The sequence below is a fragment of the Homo sapiens genome, chromosome X (assembly GCF_000001405.40).
Source record: "Homo sapiens chromosome X, GRCh38.p14 Primary Assembly".
NCBI classification, from domain to species: Eukaryota; Metazoa; Chordata; class Mammalia; order Primates; family Hominidae; genus Homo; species Homo sapiens.
In genome coordinates this window covers 54,046,598-54,066,246 of record NC_000023.11, presented here as the reverse complement: position 1 = coordinate 54,066,246, position 19,649 = coordinate 54,046,598, and the positions used below count along the sequence as shown (strand labels likewise).

Here is a 19,649-nt window from a genome sequence, read left to right as displayed (position 1 = left end):
TAGCCTTTATTGCATGTGAAAAATATGAAAATTCCGTAATAATTTAATAGCAGATACACAAAGGCATCTATTGAGGGCCTACAATGTGCACAGGAGAGAGTTCTAGACACTTTATGTATATTTTCATTATTCAGTCCTTATACATGTATAATTTCTAACTTGAGAAAAGGAGAATGTATCAGTCAGGATAGGCTAGGTTTTGCTGCAATTATAACCCCCAAATCTCAGTAATTTAACAAAAGTATACTTATTGCTCATATGTCCAACTGGGATTGACAGCAGAACTCTGTTCATGCATGGTGACTGGTGGACACTAATAGACTAATAGAAATTCCATTACTGCCGGGCACGGTGGCTCACACCTGTAATCCCAGCCCTTTGGGAGGCTGAGGCAGGCAGATCACCTGAGGTCGGGAGTTCGAGACTAGCCTGACCAACATGGAGAAACCCTGTCTCTACTAAAAATACAGAATTAGCCCGGTATGGTGGCACATGCCTGTAATCCCAGCTACTAGGGAGGGTGAGGCAGGAGAATCACTTCAACCTGGGAGGCAGAGGTTGCAGTGAGCCGAGATCACGCCATTGCACTGCAGCCTGGGCAACAAGAGCGAAACTCTGTCTCAAAAAAAAAAAAAAGGGCCGGGCGCGGTGGCTCACGCCTGTAATCCCAGCACTTTGGGAGGCCGAGGCGGGCAGATCACGAGGTCAGGAGATCGAGACCATCCCGGCTAAAACGGTGAAACCCCGTCTCTACTAAAAATACAAAAAATTAGCCGGGCGTAGTGGCGGGCGCCTGTAGTCCCAGCTACTTGGGAGGCTGAGGCAGGAGAATGGCGTGAACCCGGGAGGCGGAGCTTGCAGTGAGCCGAGATCCCGCCACTGCACTCCAGCCTGGGCGACAGAGCGAGACTCCGTCTCAAAAAAAAAAAAAAAAAAAGAAAAAAGAAAAATTTCATCACCAAGACTCTACTTTTTTTTTTTTTTTTGAGTTGGAGTTTCGCTCTTTTTTTGCCCAGGCTGGAGTGCAGTGCAATGGCATGATCTCGGCTCACTGCAACCTCTGCCCCCCAGGTTCAAGTGATTCTCCTGCCTTAGCCTCCTGAGTTAGCTGGGATTACAGGCGTGTGCCACCACACCCAGCTAATTTTGTATTTTTCAGTAGAGACGGGGTTTCACCATGTTGACCAGGCTGGTCTTGAACTCCTGAACTCAGGTAATCCTCCGGCCTCAGCCTCCCAAACTACTAGGATTACAGGCGTGAGCCACCGCGCCTGGCCACCAAGAGTCTACTTTCAAGGATCATTTCCATAGTTCGTTACTAGAGAAGTTTCTCTGAATGTGTAGAGCATCAATATGTTAAGTAAGAAAAGTTCCATCACTGAGTCAGGGGAAGGCATATGACCAAAATATACCTTGGCCCTTAAAGCTTAGAGTGTCACAGATCACTTCTCTCTTTTCATTGCCCAAAGCAAGCCACGTGGTTGCAGCTAATTTTATAGAGGTGGAAAAGAACAATTGTACTATGTGCCTGAATGGCGATAAAACTGGTTAAATTTGGTGAGTCACAATGACAGCATCACAGGAAGAAATGGTCCATTTCTGGTTGACTTAATTCACTTTTGGTTGGTACCCATTACTTAACCATTTGAGACCTTCAGTCTAAAATTTGGAATGTAATAGCTAAACATTCATTCCCGTTTCGGTGTTTCAGTAGGGGTTCTCTGCATGTGGTCGGAGGTGAACATAATCTGGTGGTAATACAAGCACTGAGCTTAGTCCCTGTAGCCCACCCTGTGGGGTGGTTGTGAGGATTAAATGTGTACGCAAAGGGCCTGGCATGTACTACAGCCTAGATAAATGTTAGCTGTTGTGGGTTAGGGAAGAAATGGTAGTAGATGAAAGACTTACGTACACTCCCAGTCCTGACTTCCCACATTCCTTCCCATTCTATAATCTGACATCAGCCCTCCCCATCTGAATGTGGCTGCTTCCAAAGGTGACCTGTGTGCTCTGTCATGAAGTTCAGGGTTTCCCTACAGGCCTTATCTTGCTGAGGTCTTCCATACCAATATGATGCTGCAAAACAACCCATTTACTGAAACTCTGACTTCCCTGACACTTCTCTCTTGTTTCTCTTAACTTTTGGACTACCTAAAAATATATGTAATATTTGATAAATACAAAAGGATATATGTAACATACATTATGAAATTCAATAATAAAATGAACACTCAAACCCACCGCCTAACCTAATAATGATCCCATCTCTTTACCTTCCCCAGAGGTAATCAGCATCTTGATTTCATTTTATTTTTATTTTGAGACACAGTCTTGCTCTATTACCCAGGCTGGAGGGCGGTGGCATGATCTCAGCTCATTGCAACCTCCGCCTCCCGGGTTCAAGCGATTCTCGTGCCTCAGCCGCTTGAGTACCTGGGACTACAGGCGCCCACCACCACGCCTGGCTAATTTTGTATTTTTAGTAGAGACGGGGTTTCACCATGTTGGCCAGGCTGGGTCTTGAACTAATGACCTCAAGTGATCCACCTGCCTCAGCCTCATAAAATGCTGGGATTACAGGCGTGAGCCACTGTGCCCAAACTTAAATGTGATGTCTCATTCCTACCTCTCCATTGTTTCCTATACCCCATCCTCCTCCAGCTTGATTCCCTTATCTCTGATTAATGTCACCATTATCCTCATAGTCACCCAAGCCACAAACCTCAGTCATCCCAGATTCTTTCCTCATCCACAAGCTCAAACATTCTGCTTCTGCAGTGTCTCATATCTGCCCCTCTTCATTTTCATGGCTCCTCCCCATCTTACTTCTTCCTCTTCTTCTTTTTTCCTGCCATTCAAAATGTGATAAGTGGTTCAGCAACATTAGCATCACCTGGAAACCTAACAGAAATGCAGACTATTGGCCGGGCATGGTGGTTCACACCCATAATCCCAACACTTTGGGAGGCCGAGGCGGGCGGATCACTTGAGGTCAGGAGTTCAAGACCACCCTGGCCAACATAGTGAAACCCTGTCTCTACTAAAACTACAAAAAAATTAGTCAGGCGTGGTGGCGCATGACTGTAATCCCAGCTACTCAGGAGGCTGAAGCATGAGAATCGCTTGAACCCGGGAGGCAGAGGTTGCAGTGAGCCAAGATCGCACCACTGCACTCCAGCCTGGGTGACAGAGTGAGATTCTGTCTCAAAAAAAAAAATGCAGACTATTGGGCCCTACCTGAGATCTACTCAGTCAGAATCTGCATTTTTTTTTTTTTTTTTTTGAGACAGAGTCTCTCTCTGTCACCCAGGCTGGAGTGCAGTGGCACGATCTCGGCTTACTGCAAGCTCCACCTCCCAGGTTCACGCCACTCTCCTGCCTCAGCCTCTCAAGTAGCTGGGACTACAGGTGCCTGCCACCACGCCTGGCTAATTTTTTGTATTTTTAGTAGAGACGGGGTTTCACCGTGTTAGCCAGGATGGTCTTGATCTCCTGGCCTCGTGATCTGCCCACCTCGGACTCCCAAAGTGTTGGGATTACAGGCGTGAGCCACCACGCCCGGCCAGAATCTGCATTTTAACAAGATTCCTGTATAATTCATATGCACATTAAAGTATAACAGGCTGTCATGGTTGCTCATGCCTGTAATCCCAGCACTTTGGGAGGCTGAGGCAGGAGGCTTGCTCGAGGCCAGGAGTTCAAGACTAGCCTGGGCAACATAGTGAGACCTCATCCTCTACAAAAAAAAAAGAAGAAGAAGCTGGGTGTGGTGGTGCACACCTGTAGTTCTACTCGGGAGACTGAGGTGGGAGGATCGCTTGAGCCCAGGAGGTCGAGGCTGTAGTGAGCCATGATAGCTCCACTGCACTCCAGCCTGGGTGACAAGAGCAAGACTGTGTCTCTGAAATAAACAAATACAGTAAAATAAGCAGTACCCTAGTTGAGTCTCAATCTGGATAGCTGTAAGTCTTCACCAGTTTATAACCTATGCCCCGTGTCAGTGCCACTCAAGCCTGGCTGCATATCAGAATACCTCAGAAATCTTTTTCATTTATCTTTTCATGATTTATAACATCCACTAGTTGTTTTTCAATATAGAAATACAAAGAAGAGGCCAGACGTGGTGGTTCATGACTGTAATCCCAGCCCTTTGGGAGTCCAAGGCAGGTGGATAGCCTGAGGTCAAGAGTTCAAGACCAGCCTGGTCCACATGGTGAAACCCCGTCTCTACCAAAAATACAAAAATTAGCCAAGCGTGGTGGCACCTGCCTGTAATCCCAGTTACTTGGGATGCTGAGGCAGGTCAATCACTTAAACCCAGGAGGCGGAGGTTGTAGTGAGCTGAGATGGCGCCACTGCACTCCAGCCTGAGTGACAGAGCCAGACTCCGTCTCAAAAAAAAAAAAAAAAAAAAGAGCGGCCGGGTGGCTCACACCCGTAATCCCAGCACTTTGGGAGGCTGAGGCAGGCGGTTCATGAGGTCAGGAGATGGAGACCATCCTGGCTAACACGGTGAAACCCCATCTCTACTAAAAATACAAAAAATTAGCCAGGCGTGGTGGCAGGCACCTGTAGTCCCAGCTACTTGGGAGGCTGAGGCAGGAGAATGGCGTGAACCTGGGAGGCGGAGCTTGCACTGAGCCGAGATCATGCCACTGCACTCCATCCTGGGCGACAGAGCAAGACTCTGTCTCAAAAAAACAAAAACAAAAACAAAAAAGAAATACAAAGAAGGAAATTTAAATTGGCCCATGCCTTACCCAGGTAGCTCCAAATGATAGGCTTTTTTTTAAAAAAATTATTTGTTTGTTGATTTTGTAGAGACAGGGTCTCTGTATGTTGCCCAGACTGGTATCAAACTCCTGGCCTCAAGTGATCCTCCTACCTTGGCCTCCCAAAGTGGTGAGATTATAGGCGTGAGACATTACTATTTTTTTTTTTTTTGAGGTAGGGTCTCACTCTGTCACCCAGACGAGTGCAGAGGCACGATCATGGCTCACTGCAGCCTCGACCTCCCTGCACTCAGGTGATCCTCCCACCTCAGCCTCCCGAGTAGCTGGGAATACAGAAACCACCCACCATGGCTGGCTAATTTTTTTATTTTCTGTAAAGACGGGGTCTCACCATGTTGCCCAGACTGGTCTCAAACTCCTGGGCTCAAGTGATCCTCCCGCCTCAGCTCCCCAAAGTTCTGAGATTACAGGCATCAGCCACCACACCCCACCTGTATTTAATAATTTTTTTTTCTCAAAACCATTCCTTTTTGTTTTTTTAATTTTTTTTAAATTTTTTAATTTCCGTAGGTTATTGGGGAACAGGTAGTGTTTGGTTACATAAGTTCTTTAGTGGTGATTTGTGAGATTTTGGTGCACCCATCACCCGAGCAGTATATATTTAATTTTTTTTTTTTTTTTGAGACGGTTCCCTCTTGTTGCCCAGGCTGGAGTGCAATGGCGCGATCTTGGCTCACTGCAACCTCCGGCTCCTGGGTTCAAGCGATTCTCCTGTCTCAGCCTCCTGAGTAGCTGGGATTACAGGCACCCGCCACCACGCCCGGCTAATTTTTGTATTTCTTTTTTTTTTTTTTTTTTTTTGAGATGGCGTCTTGCTCTGTCACCAGGCTGGAGGGCGGTGGCACGATCTTGGCTCACTGCAACCTCCACCTCTTGGGTTCAAGCCATTCTCCTGCCTCAGCCTCCCGAGTAGCTGGGACTACAGGTGCCCGCCACCACACCCAGCTAATTTTTTGTATTTTTAGTAGAGATGGGGTTTCACCATGTTGACCAGGCTGGTCTTGAACTCCTGACCTCAGTTGATCCACCCGCCTCGGCTTCCCAAAGTGGTGGGATTACAGGCGTGAGCCACCATGCCTGGCCTAATTTTTTATTTCTAATAGACATAGAGTTTCATCGTATTAGTCAGGCTGGTCTCAAACTCCTGACCTCAGGCGATCTGCCCACCTCAGCCTCCCAAAGTGCTGGGATTACAGGCGTGAGCCACCGCGCCCAGCCTATATTTAATAATTTTTAACACTACATACTATTCCATTAGATGAATTAATTCCCTATTCATAAGTGCTTTGTTTCCAGTTTTAGCTATTACAAACAATGCTGCAGTGATCATCCCTGTGCACATATCTTGGTGAACTTCTGCAAGGATATCCATAGGATAAATTTGTAATGGCAAGATTGCTGGGTGTATCAGTTAGGATGCTTTTGGTTGCGAGTAACAAAATACACTTCCAGCCAGCAGTAGGGTGAGCTAGAGCTACCCAGTTTCTTTCCGTCTTTCCACTTTGCAGTCCATACTTTTTCCAGGTAGTTTTCTATGTGTAGACCCATCACTCTGCCTTGATCCCTGGACCAGCAGCATCACTATCATCTGGGAACTTCTTAGAAATGCAAATTATCAAGCGGGTGCGGTGGTTCCGCCTGTAATCCCAGCACTTTGGGAGGTCGAGGCAGGTTGATCACCTGAGGTCAGGAGTTCGAGACCAGCCTGGCCATCATGGCGAAACCCTGTCTCTACTAAAAATACAAAAATTAGCTGGGCGTGGTGGCACACGCCTGTAATCCCAGCTATTGGGGAGGCTGAGGCAGGAGAATCGTTTGAACCCGGGAGGCAGAAGTTGCAGTGAGTCAAGACAGTACCACTGCACTCCAGCCTGGACAACAGAATAATGAGATTCCAACTAAAAAACAAAACAAAAAAAACCCTAAAAAAAATGCAAATTATCAGTCCCTACCTCAAACCTACAGAATCTGAAACTTGCAGGGGCTGGGGGTAGCAACCAGCAATTTGTGTTTTAACAAACTAAGTGATTCTGATGCATGCTTAAGATAGAAAGCCATTGCTTTGGCCAAGGTGACCCTAAGATGGCTGCCAGTGGCAATGGAGGCTGTGAGTCTCTTCCTTTAAGTCTAGCAGGAAAGAGAAAACATCTGACCCAGCATTCCAAGCAGGACTCCCAAGACTTGCCCTAATTGGCTTGTTTAGGTCACAAGTCTTCCCCTGAATTAATAATGTCTGTGACCAGAAGAAGTGGGAGTAGGATCAATTTACTCCAAAATACATGGGCTACAAGTGGAAGGAATGGATACACAATAAAAATTTAGGAATTGTTAGGAAGGAAAAAGTGGGGAACGATTGCTGAGAAGGTACTAGCAAAGCCTACAACATTTAGTTAAGGGGTATGTGTGTGATATATAGATATAGATAGATATAGATAGATATAGAGATAGATATAGATATATCCAAACTGTACCCTCAAAAGATTGCACTTGCTTACAGTCCCACTAGCAGCATATGACAGTATGTTTCTTCATACCCTCACTAGCCCTGTATGTAATCAGACTTTAAAAATTGTCCCAATCTAATAAGAAAAGATGGTATTTTATTGTTTTGATTTCTATTTCTTTAATCATGGATGAGGATGAATATCTTTTCAAATCACTGTTGATGTATCTAGGTCTTTCTCTGTAACTACTTGCTTATTTCTTAGCTCATTTATTATTGGGTTTTGCCTTTTTTTTTTAACAGATTTTTATTTTCTTTCTTTCTTTTCTTTTTTTTTTTTTTTTTTTTTTTTTGATACAGAGTTTTGCTCTGTTGCCAAGGCTGGAGTGCAGTGGTACGATCTCAGCTCACAGCAACCTCTGCTTCCTGGGCTCAAGTGATTCTCCTGCCTCAGCCTCCCAAGTAGCTGAGATTACAGGCATGAGCCACCATGCCCAGCTAATTTTTGTATTTTTAGTAGAGATGGGGTTTCACCATGTTGACCATGCTGGTCTCGAACTCCTGACCTCAAGTGATCCGCCCGCCTCAGCCTCCCAAAGTGCTGGGATTACAGGTGTGAACCACCATGCCCAGCCTTAACAGATTTTTCTGAACTCCTCATAAATAAACTAGCCCTTTGTCATGTATGTTGTAAATATGTTTTCCCAGTTTTGCTGATCTTTTGAATTTGTTCATGGTATTTTTTACCTCCCAAAGCTTTGAACTTCCATACAAATCTATCAGTCTTTTTCTTTATGGCATCTGAGTTTGAGATTCTGCTTTAAAAAGGCCTTCCTGGACTGGGCGCAGTGGCTCATGCCTGTAATCCTAGCACTTTGGGAATCCGAGGCAGGTGGATCACTTGAGGTCAGGAGTTCCAGATCAGCCTGGCCAACGTGGTGAAACCCCGTCTCTACTAAAAATACAAAAATTAACCGGGTGTGGTGGTGCACACCTGTAATCCCAGCTACTTGTGAGGCTGAGGCAGGAGAATCATTTGAACCTGGGAGGCGAGGGTTGCAGTGAGCTGAGATCACGCCACTGCACTCCAGCCTGGACAACAGAGGCTTTTTTTCTCTGTCTCAGAAAAAAAGGCCTTCCCCATTTCTAGAGTACAAATAAGTACATTAACATTTTCTTCCAAAATTATTTTGTTTTCACTTTTTTCTACTTTCACTTCTGATACACCTGGAATTCTATTTTGGTATAAGGAGTAAGATAAAGATAATTCCCCCACCCCTTCACTACCAACTAGCCAGTTATCTCAGCACCATTTTCTCCATTGATTTCAATTGTGGCCTTTATCATAAATTATTTTTTTAATGTACTTGAGTCTACTTAGGGAATCTATTTGTTCCATTGATCTAATTCTTTTTTTCTTTTGTTTTTTTTTTTTTTTTTAGACGGAGTTTTGCTCTTGTCACCCAGGCTGGAGTGCAATGGCACAATCTCAGCTCACTGCAACCTCCACCTCCCAGGTTCAACTGATTCTTCTGCCTCAGCCTCCCGAGTAGCTGCGATTACAGGTACGCACCACAAACGATTCTTCTGCCTCAGCCTCCCGAGTAGCTGCGATTACAGGTACGCACCACCCCACCCGGCTAATGTTTGTATTTTTAGTAGAGACAGGGTTTCACCATGTTGGCCAGGCTGGTCTCGATCTCCTAACCTCAGGTGATCCACTCACCTTGGCCTCCCAAAGTGCTGGGATTACAGTCATGAGCCACCATGCCCAGCCAATCTAATTCTTTTTACTATACTAAACTGTTTTAATCATCTTAGCTTTGCGGTATTTTTTTTTTTTTTTTTGAGACAGGGTCTCACTCTGTTGCCCAGGCTGGAGTGCAGTGGCCCAATCTTGACTCACTGTAGCCTCCACCTCCTGGGCTCAAGTGATCCTCCCACGTCAGCTTCCCAAGTAGCTGGAACTACAGGTGCGTGCCACAACGCCTGGCTAAGCTTTGTAGTATTTTTTTTTTTTTTGAGACAGAGTTTTGCTCTCGTTGCCCAGGCTGGAGTGCAATGGCACAACCTCGGCTCACCGCAACCTCCGCCTCCCAGGTTCAAGCGATTCTCCTGCCTCAGCCTCCCGAGTAGCTGGAATTACAGGCATGTGCCACCACGCCCGTCTAATTTTGTATTTTTAGTAGAGATGGGGTTTCTCCATGTTTGTCAGGCTGGTCTTGAACTCCCAACCTCAGGTGATCCACTGGCCTCAGCCTCCCAAAGTGCTGGGATTACAGGCATGAGCCACCGCACCCAGCCGCTTTGTAGTATTTTTAATATCTGACAGAACTTGTTTTCTGTCATTTTCTTTTTTTTTCAGAAATGTTCTCATTATTACTTTTCCAGGTGAACATTGATATTACTTGTCAAGTCAGTGAAATTTAAAATTAAGGAGGTTGGCCTGGTGCTATGGCTCACACTTGTAATTCTAGCACTGTGGGAGTTCAAGGTGGGAGGATTGCTTGAGCCCAGGAATTTGAGACCAGCCTGGGCAACATAATGAGGCCCTGTTTCTACAAAAGCAAAATAAAATTAGGGATGCTGGGCCTCCACTCCAGACATAGTGAAAGCAGATTTTAAAAATATGATACTCTGGGCTGGGCACAAGGCTCATGCCTGTAATCCTAGCACTTCACTGCAACCTCCGCCTCCTGGGTTCAAGTAATTCTCCTTCCTCAGCCTCCCAAGTAGCTGGGATTACAGGTGCCCACCACCACGCCTGGCTAATTTGCTATATTTTTAGTAGAGATGGGGGTTTCACCATGTTGGCCAGGCTGGTTTCGAACTCCTGACCTCAAGTGATCCGCCCACCTCAGTCTCCCAAAGTGCTAGGATTACAGGCGTCAGCCAGCACACCCGGCCTCAATACTTAATAGGATAGAAAAACAGAAAACTGAAATAAAAATTTTCTTTTAGAAAAGGGAGTTCTGATGTTGAGACAATCATCTATCCTTTTGGAAAAAATTAAGCTATATCCCTCCATCATATCAAATTAACTAAAACTCTAAAAGCATTCTAGAAGCTGGGAACAAGACAAAGTCTGTACTCTGACAGAGCTTACAATCTAAGGGGAGAATAACCATGAACAAATAAACAAATTAGGTAACTTCAGAGGGAGGTGATCTTTGAAGAAAATAATCAAGATAATAGGGCATATCTTGGCAGAGAGAGGAGTGGCTAATTTAGTTAGGGTGGCCATGGAAGGCCTCTTTGAAGAAGCAATATTTGAGTTGATCTCTGAAGGTGTCAGCCATAGGAAGATGTAGGGGAAGAGAGTTCCAGATAGGAGAAATGCAAAGGTTCTGAGGAGGAAATGAGTTTAAGGTAGATTAAAGATCTAAATGGAAAGTATCATAACAGAAAAACAAAAAAAGATAATATGGTTGTTACTTTGGATAAGGAAGGTCTTCTAAAACAATAAACAAAGCAGCAAAACCATAGCAGAAAAGATTGATGTAAGTATAAACTATATAAACACTGAAAACTTCTGCATGATAACACAAACCATAAACAAGTTACATACTGTGGGAAAATATTAGCAACATACATTTTAGACAAAGGATTAATATCTAGAAATATAAATGACTCCTACAACTCAACATGGAAAAGACAATGCTGTAAGAAAAAATAGGCAAAGGTTACAAATAGTTCATAGAGGATGGGCCAATAATAAACATCATATGAAAACATGCTCAACTTCAATAGTGATGGGGGAATGCAAATTAAAAACAAACAAACAAACATGAGTTATCATTTTTCATCAGTCAGATTGTAAAACAATCCAAAAGGCTGGGCACAGTGGCTCACACCTGTAAACCCAGCACTTTCGGAGGTCGAGGCAGGTTGATCACCTGAGGTCAGGAGTTCGAGAGCAGCCTGGCCAACATGGTGAAACCCCATCTCTACTAAAAATACAAACATTAGGTGGGCATGGTGGCACACACCTGTAATTCCAGCTACTTGGGAGGCTGAGGCAGGAGAATCACTTGAACCTGGGAGGCGGAGGTTGCAGTGAGCCAAGGCTGCAAAATTGCACTCCAGCCAGGCAAAAAGAGCAAAACTCTGTCTCCAAAAGAACAAACGAACAAACAAAACAACCTAAATGCCAGGGTCCTAGGAAATGTGAAGATACACTGCTGATGGTATTCAAAAATTGGCATAGTGCCTTTGAAGGGCAAGTTGGCAGTATGTATTAAAATTGAAAATATTTTTATTTTATTTTATTTTTTTGAGACGGAGTCTCGCTCTGTCACCCAGGCTGGAGTGCAGTGGAGTGATTTCGGCTCACTGCAAGCTCCGCCTCCTGTGTTCATGCCATTCTCCTGCCTCAGCCTCCCGAGTAGCTGGGACTACAGGCGCCTGCCACCACGCCCAGCTAATTTTTTGTATTTTTAGTAGAGACGGGGTTTCACCGTGTCAGCCAGGATGGTCTCTATCTCCTGACCTCGTGATCCACCTGCCTCGGCCTCCCAAAGTGCTGGGATTACAAGCGTGAGCAAAATATTTACACTCCATGACTCAGTAACCTTCTTTTGAGTGTCCATCTAGAGAAACATGCCTGGGCACAAAGAGGTCCCTACGGCGATGTTCACTGCAGCCCTGTAATAGTGAAAAATTAAGACCACTTTAAATATCCATCAAGGGAGAGGAGAAATAGATTAAGACTGCCTCCTTCCCCAGTGATGGAATTCCCTGCAGTAGTTAAAAAGAAGAAAGTTGGCTGGGCGCAGTGGCTCACGCCTGTAATCCCAGCACTTTGGAAGGCTGAGGTCGGTGGATCACCAGGTAAAGAGATCGAGACCATCCTGGCCAACATGGTGAAATCCCGTCTCTACTAAAAATACAAAAATTAGCTGGGCATGGTGGCTCGAGCCTGCAGTCCCACCTACTCAGGAAGCTGAGGCAGGAGAATCGCTTGAACTCGGGACGTGGAGGTTGCAGTGAGCCGAGATCACGCCACTGCACTCCAGCCTGGCGACAGAGTGAGACTCCATCTCAAAACAAAAAATAAAGTTGATTTTTTTTTTGTTTTTTTGGTAGAAAGATCTCCAAGACTTATTGTCAACTGAAGAAAGCAGTTGGCCGCCTAATTTGATTGAACAGTATGATCCTGTTCATGTGAAAATGATAAATACCCACACCAACCTCCATATTTCTGTGTTACTATCCTGCCACTACCCACCCGGACCCCCACTCCCAGTGGAGAGGATTTTGGTTTGAGCAGTGAGGCTGTTTGAGTGGCTTCAATCCCAGTTCACCTCACAATTACCACCAAGTAGGCATGGGAGTCAGCTACATAATTGGTGAAGCCCAGCACAACGTGAAAATGGAATGGAGAGCCTCACGTTCAAAAAGCAGAGGAGAAAGCCGGGTGCAGTGGCTCACGCCTATAATCCCAGCACTTTGGGAGGCTGAGGTGGATGGATCACCTGAGGTTGGGAGTTTGAGACCAGCCTGACCAACATAGTGAAACCCCATCTCTACTAAAAATACAAAAATTAGCCGTGCATGGTGGCCGGCAGCTGTAGTCCCAGCTACACAGGAGGCTGAGGCAGGAGAATTGCTTGAACCTGGGAGGCAGAGGTTGCAGTGAGCCGAGATTGCACCACTGCACTCCAGCCTGGGCGACAAAGCGAGACTCCATCTCAAAAGAAAAAAAAAAAAAGAAAAAAGGAGGGGAAGTGTAATTAAAGATCCCAACCTAAAAAGGTTTTTTCCTGTGGAGCCAAGATGGCCGAATAGGAACAGCTCCAGTCTACAGCTCCCAGCATGAGCAACGCAGAAGACGGGTGATTTCTGCATTTCCAACTGAGGTACCAGGTTCATCTCACTGGGGAGTGCTGGACAGTGGGTGCAGGACAGTGGGTGCAGCACACCGTGCATGAGCCGAAGCAGGGCAAGGCATCGCCTCACCTGGGAAGCGCAAGGGGTCAGGGAATTCCCTTTCCTAGTCAAAGAAAGGGGTGACAGACGGCACCTGGAAAATCAGGTCACTTCCACCCTAATACTGCACTTTTCCAACGGGCTTAAAAAATGGCACACCAGGAGATTATATCCCGCATATGACTAGACCAATAACAGGCTCTGAAATTGAGGCAATAATTAATAGCTTACTAACCAAAAAAAGTCCAGGACCAGATGGATTCACAGCCGAATTCTACCAGAGGTACAAGGAGGAGCTGGTACCATTCCTTCTGAAACTATTCCAATCAATAGAAAAAGAGGGAATCCTCCCTAACTCATTTTATGAGGCCAGCATCATCCTGATACCAAAGCCTGGCAGAGACACAGCAGAAAAGCGAATTTTAGACCAATATCCTTGATGAACATTGATGCAAAAATCCTCAATAAAATACTGGCAAACCGAATCCAGCAGCACATCAAAAAGCTTATCTACCATGATCAAGTGGGCTTCACTCATAGGTGGGAATTGAACAATTAGAACACATGGACACAGGAAGGGGAACATCACACACCGGGGACTGTTGTGGGGTGGGGGGAGGGGGGAGGGATAGCATTAGAAGATATACCTAATGCTAAATGACGAGTTAATGGGTGCAGCACACCAACATGGCACAGGTATACATATGTAACAAACCTGCACGTTGTGCACATGTACCCTAAAACTTAAAGTATAATAATAATAAAATTTAAAAAAAAAGTTTTTTTCCTAGGCCGGGCTTGGTGGCTCACGCCTATAATCCCAGCACTTTGGGAAGCCAAGGTGGGCAGATCACTTGAGGCCAGAAGTTGGAGACAAGCCTGGCCAACATGGTAAAACCCCGTCTCTACTAAAAATTAAAAACAAAAAAAGCCAGATGTGGTGGTGTGCGCCTGTCTGTAATCCCAGCTACTTGGGCGGCTGAGGCAGGAGAATCGCTAGAACCTGTGAGGCAGAGACTGCAATGAGCAGAGATCACGCCACTGCACTCCAGTCCAGCCTGGGTGACACAGCATGACTCTGTATCAAAAAAAAATTTTGTTTCCTTAAAAAAAATGTTTTTACTTATAAAACATAGTAAGTGTAATAGTAATGCATGAATAATGACAAATTACAGAAAAATATTTTTGTTATAATTTTACATGATTTTTTTTTCTTTTGAGACGGAATCTCACTCTGTTGCCCAGGCTGGAGTGCAGTGGCACGATCTTGGCTAACTGCAACCTCTGCCTCCCAGGTTCAAGTGATTCTCCTGCCTCAGCCTCCCTAGTAGCAGGGATTACAGGTGTGCACCACCACAGCCTACTAATTTTTGTATTTTTAGTAGAGACGGGGTTTCACCATGTTGGCCAAGTCGGTCTGAAACTCTTGACCTCAAGTGATCCACCTACCTCGGCCTCCCAAAGTGCTGGGAATACAGGTGACAGCCACTGTGCCCGGCAAAAATAGTGTTATTAATATATCATGATCATAAGATTTTTCTGACTCCCTTTTCTGCAAATTCAATTATTTGGTCATCAACATTTTTAGCAACTTCATTTTTTTTTTTTTTTTGAGACAGAGTTTCACTCTTGTTGCCCAGGCTGGAGTGCAATGGCGTGATCTCAGCTCACCACATCCTCCCGCTCCCAGGATCAAGTGATTCTCCTGCCTCAGCCTCCCAAGTAGCTGGAATTACAGGCATGTGCCACCACGCCCAGCTAATTTTTGTATTTTTAGTAGAGATGGGGGTTTCACCATTTTGGTCAGGCTGGTCTCGAACTCCCAACCTCAGGTGATCCACCTGCCTCCGCCTCCCAAAGTGCTGGGATTACAGGCATGAGCCACCGGCCGCAACTTCATTTTTTTTTTTTTTTTTTTTGAGACAGAGTTTCACTCTTGTTGCCCAGGCTGGAGTGCAGTGGCGTCATCTCGGCTCACTGCAACCTCCGCCTTCTGGTTTCAAGTGATTCTCCTTCCTCAGCCTCCCGAGTAGCTGGGATTACAGGCACCCACCACCACACCCAGCTAATTTTTTTTGTGTTTTTAGTAGAAATGGGGTTTCACCATGTTGGCCAGGCTGGTCTCGAACTCCTGACCTCATGATCCGCCCACCTCGGCCTCCCAAAGTGCTGGGATTACACGCGTGAGCCACTGTGCCCGGCCACATTCATTTTTTTTTTTTTTTAAGACAGGGTCTCACTTTGTTGTCCAGTCTAGAATGCAGTAGTGGGATCACAGCTCACTGCAGCCTTGACCTCCTGGGCTCAAGGAATCCTCCCGATTCAGCCTCGTCAGTAGGTGGGACTACAGGTGCGCACCACCATGCCTGGCTAATATGTTAATATTTTTATTTTTTATAGAGACGAGGTCTCACTTTGTTGCCCAGGCTGGTCTTTTTTTGTTGTCGTTTTATTTTGTTTTGTTTTGTTTTGAGACAGCATCTCACTCAGTTGCCCAGCCAGGAGTGCAATGGGAGATCATGGTTCACTGCAGTCTTGACCTCAAAAGCTCAAGCAATCCTCCCACCTCAGCCTCCTGAGTAGCTGGGACTTCAGGCACGAACCACTACACCCAGCAAATTTTTTGTTTTTTAATTTTTAGTAGAGATAGGGTCTCACTTTGTTGTCCAGACTGGTCTCAAACTCCTGGGCTCAAGCAATTCCCCGTCTCGGCCTCCCAAAGTGTTGGGAGTATAAGTATAAGCCATTGCGCCTGGCCTGTCTCTTCAATTACAGGGAAGAAACTTTTATATTGTCTTCTTCATTGATATTTTATCTGAAACTTTTCATTTAATGTGTCTTTTGTGACAATCTTTAATTTTAATTTCTATTTCTAAGCCTTTGGATATTTGTTTTGCTGTGTTGCACCAGTTTTTAAAACCAGAGATTCTAAACTCTTTGAAAAATTATAATAATCCTCTCCATACACTTTACTGCAATGTCCATGGGTACTCGTTTATTTCATAATCATTTCCTTGCAAAGTTTACTGCCTGAGTGCCAGCAGTTCCTGTGCCAGTATGCAGGCCAAAGCGTTAATCTTTGTACAGGCCCTGGTGACAGGACAAGCTTGCCTCTCACAACAGGTCTCCTCACTGTTCCTGCACAGAGGCCCTCCTCTCTCCCAGATCTATAGCCACTGCTACCTGTGCTGCTGCTTTTGCTACTGCTGCCACTGTAGTCACTGGCTTGACGTCCCCTCTGGGCCCTGATGTCCCCCTCTGGTGTGTTTCTGCACACCAGGCGGCCTGTCAAACTGCTTGGTGGCATGCACATTGCCTGCAGTTTCCATAGGCTGTGGGTGCTGCCACTTAGCATATCCCTTCTGCTCATGTCCATGATCCATTGTCACAGTGGACTACACTTAGAAAAGACAAGCTCAAAGATAAAATTATCAATTTCAAGACAGCCACAGCATTACATTAAACCAAGCCTAAGGCCCCTTCTAGGAGCAGAGCTCGGTGAACAGGCACGCCCATGAAGCTGGCCCTGGAGGCGTGGGTTGGTGTTCTCCATTGCTTAGTTTGGCACCTGGGGCACCATCCTGCTAGTTTTTATTTCAAGTGTGTGCAAACCACATTTTGTTTCTGTGTTTCAAATTATGCAAAGAACCATTAATTGATTACCTTCCCATTACATTTATACACCAGTTGCTGTTAAATCCACACTAGTGGTATAAAGGAGTGGTTAAGAGCCTGGTCTCTGAGCCTGTATCACCAGGAACCCCTGCTAGGATACAAACTAGCTAAGTGACCTCCAGCAAGTGAATTAAAGTTTCTGTACTCAGCTTCATCATCCATACAATGCTAACAGTATTGATATCTACTTCATATGGTTGTTCTAAGGATTCAGTGACTTAATGCTTGTAGCGAGTTTGTAACAGTGCTTAGCACAGTAAGTTCTCAGATAATGTTATTTAGTATTATTTTGTCTTTTGTTTTTACTGTCCTTGTACTTTCAAGTCTGTTTCAGAGGACACCTGTTTTTCCTCATGTAAGTTTCCCCCCAATCCCCCCTTTTCCACTCATGTGTTTTATAGTTCACTGTAGCCCTCATCATTTTTTTTTTTTACCTCAATAGCTATAACATATATGTAGAGAAATGAATTGGAAAAGATCCTGCTGAGGTTCCCTCTAGAGAGGTAAGCAGGCATTGAAATGCCCTGTCACGGGGAAAGTTCAGCCTGGCTGTTTGAATGTTTATAATGGGAATGCATTTACATTACAATGGGATGGAACTGAATCTGTGTTATTAAAAATAAATGTTTACAACTGTTAAATGGAGGTGGGATGGGGGAGGTAGGCTTCCAGGGCAGCCTGGTGCTGTGGCAGCCAGGTCCCATCATGGGCTGCATCCTCTGAGACTGGACCAGTCCACACATTTCCAGGGCAGCAGCCAGCTGCCTCCCATCCTTAGCAGTGGCAAGACTTGCTTTGTCAGCAAATCTGACTGCCTCTGGTTCAGACCCCTGGCAGCTTTGCCTTTCCTAATATCCTTTGTCCACTCCCCACCTCTCAAGGACACTGGGGAGGAATTTTAGGAGTCGGGGTAGGAACCACTGTACCTAGGTCCAATGCTACCTCTTGTGAAGCCTTTCCTCACACACCCACTGAATGTGTTTGAATTAACTGTGACTGCCTCTTTGTTCCCACACCACACAGGTTGCTCAAACCTCTATGTAGCACTTAGGGTTTGACCTTTTCCAGCCTCCTTGTTTTGTTAATTTATTAGATCGTCTATTCCCTAAGGGTACACACAGGGTCTCTAATTCAGGCTTGGAGACCCTGACCCCCACCTGTAGCCCACCCAGTCCTCTTGCCCCCATCTTAGGGCTTTAGCACTTTTTTTTTTTTTTTTGAGATGGAGTCTTGCTCTGTCGCCCAGGCTGGAGTGCAGTGGCACAATCTCGGCTCACCGCAAGCTCTGCCTCCCGGGTTCACGCGATTCTCCTGCCTCAGCCTCCTGAGTAGCTGGGACTACAGGCACGTGCCACCACACCCAGCTAATTTTTTGTATTTTTAGTAGAGATGGGGTTTCACCATGTTGGCCAGGATGGTCTGGATCTCTTGACCTCGTGATCCACCCGCCTCGGCCTCCCAAAGTGCTGAGATTACAGGCGTGAGCCACCACACCCGGCCAACACTTTTGATTCCTTTTGCCTTTGTCCCTAGCTAGCTCTTTTTGTTATTCAGGTCTCAGCTCCTGTCACCTTCTCTGAGAACCCTTCCTTGACTACCTTATCTAAAATAGACTGCTTTCCTTTCAAATCATTCTCTATCTCATAACTGGTCTTACTTTCCTGATAGCACTCACCTCAATTGGAAATTCTCTGATTTGCCTCACTTTTTATCCGTCTCCCTTGCTGGAAATGAGTCACAGGAGGGCGGGGACTTGTCTGTTTTGTTTACCCCTAAATCCCCAGTGCCTAACAGTAGGTGTTCAAGAAAATATGTGAATGAAATTCACATATTAATGAAATTTTATTTGATCATTGACTGTTTCCGCCAGTAGACTGTCAGCTGCATGCAGGCCAGGGCCTTATCTGGGGTACCTCAACATCCTCAGCACCTAGCACAGTGCATGATGCATAGTAGATTAATAAAGAACTGTTGGGTGAGGGAATTAATGTTCCACACACACCTGAACTCAACATAGTCCAAATTAAATTTAGTCTCCTCCCCACCAAATCTGTTTTCTCTTCTGCGTAGCCCAGTTCATTCAGTGGCACCGTCATCTATGCTGACACTCAACCCAGAAGTGAACTCACACCCCTTTCACTCACTCATCTGCTATTATCAGTTTCCAAACACTGCCTAGTCAACCTCCAAAATATCCAAATTATCTCATCTTTTTCTACCCTTTCCCAAACTATCCTGGACCAATTTTTTCCCCCCAACACTAGTGAAACAGCCTCATTCCTCCTGACTCCTTGTGAAGCTAAGACATCTTAAACTGCAGGACCTGTCACTTTCCATAGGGTCACATGGTGATGTGTTTTATAAAGTTCACAAAATACATTTAAACAACAATTGGTTCAAAGTGCTGTCCCTTTCCACTGAGGGCCTGGCCATACTTTCCCTTGCATTAGGTGGTGTTGGAGCTGCCTGACATTTTTGAGATCCACCTAAGGGGAAGTTGATTTGGGGGATATATTTAGGTTGGGTTTCATGGGATATTTGTTATTTAAAAATTCATTTTATTTTTATTTTGTAGAGACAGGGTTTCACTATGTTGCCCAGCCTGGTCTTGAACTCCTGGGCTCAAGTGATCCTCCCATCCTGACCTCCCAAAGTGCTGGGATTACAGACATGCAATCTGCACCCGGCCCCATGGTACATTTACATGTGCCTTGTATCACTTCTCTTCGTAATTATTACCCAGGTGAAGGAATTGCTTGTAGAAATACTCTTACTGCCTACCTTTGAACCTAATTTTGTATTCATAAGTC

General features: G+C 45.3%; 1 protein-coding gene across 1 annotated transcript in view, besides 2 other annotated features; it reads left to right on the top strand.

Moving 5' to 3' along the window:
- Positions 1,018 to 1,170: a silencer, noted in NCBI's record as "fragment chrX:54091510-54091662 (GRCh37/hg19 assembly coordinates)". NCBI's record gives its function as "represses an EF-1alpha promoter that drives an FKBP-Casp9 reporter gene in an ReSE screen in K562 erythroleukemia cells {active_cell/tissue: K562}" and the evidence as "EXISTENCE:reporter gene assay evidence [ECO:0000049][PMID:32094911]".
- The window catches only part of PHF8 (PHD finger protein 8), a 112,257-nt gene continuing 109,918 nt past the window's right edge, over positions 17,311 to 19,649 (top strand). Inside the window, exon 1 of the mRNA XM_005261996.2 lies at positions 17,311 to 17,342. The gene's annotated coding sequence lies outside the window, so the exon portion shown is untranslated. The remainder of the gene's footprint in view (positions 17,343 to 19,649) is intronic.
- Positions 17,557 to 17,851: a silencer, noted in NCBI's record as "tiled region #9958; HepG2 Repressive DNase matched - State 3:PromF". NCBI's record gives its function as "represses a minimal TATA promoter and a strong SV40 promoter by Sharpr-MPRA in HepG2 cells {active_cell/tissue: HepG2}" and the evidence as "EXISTENCE:reporter gene assay evidence [ECO:0000049][PMID:27701403]".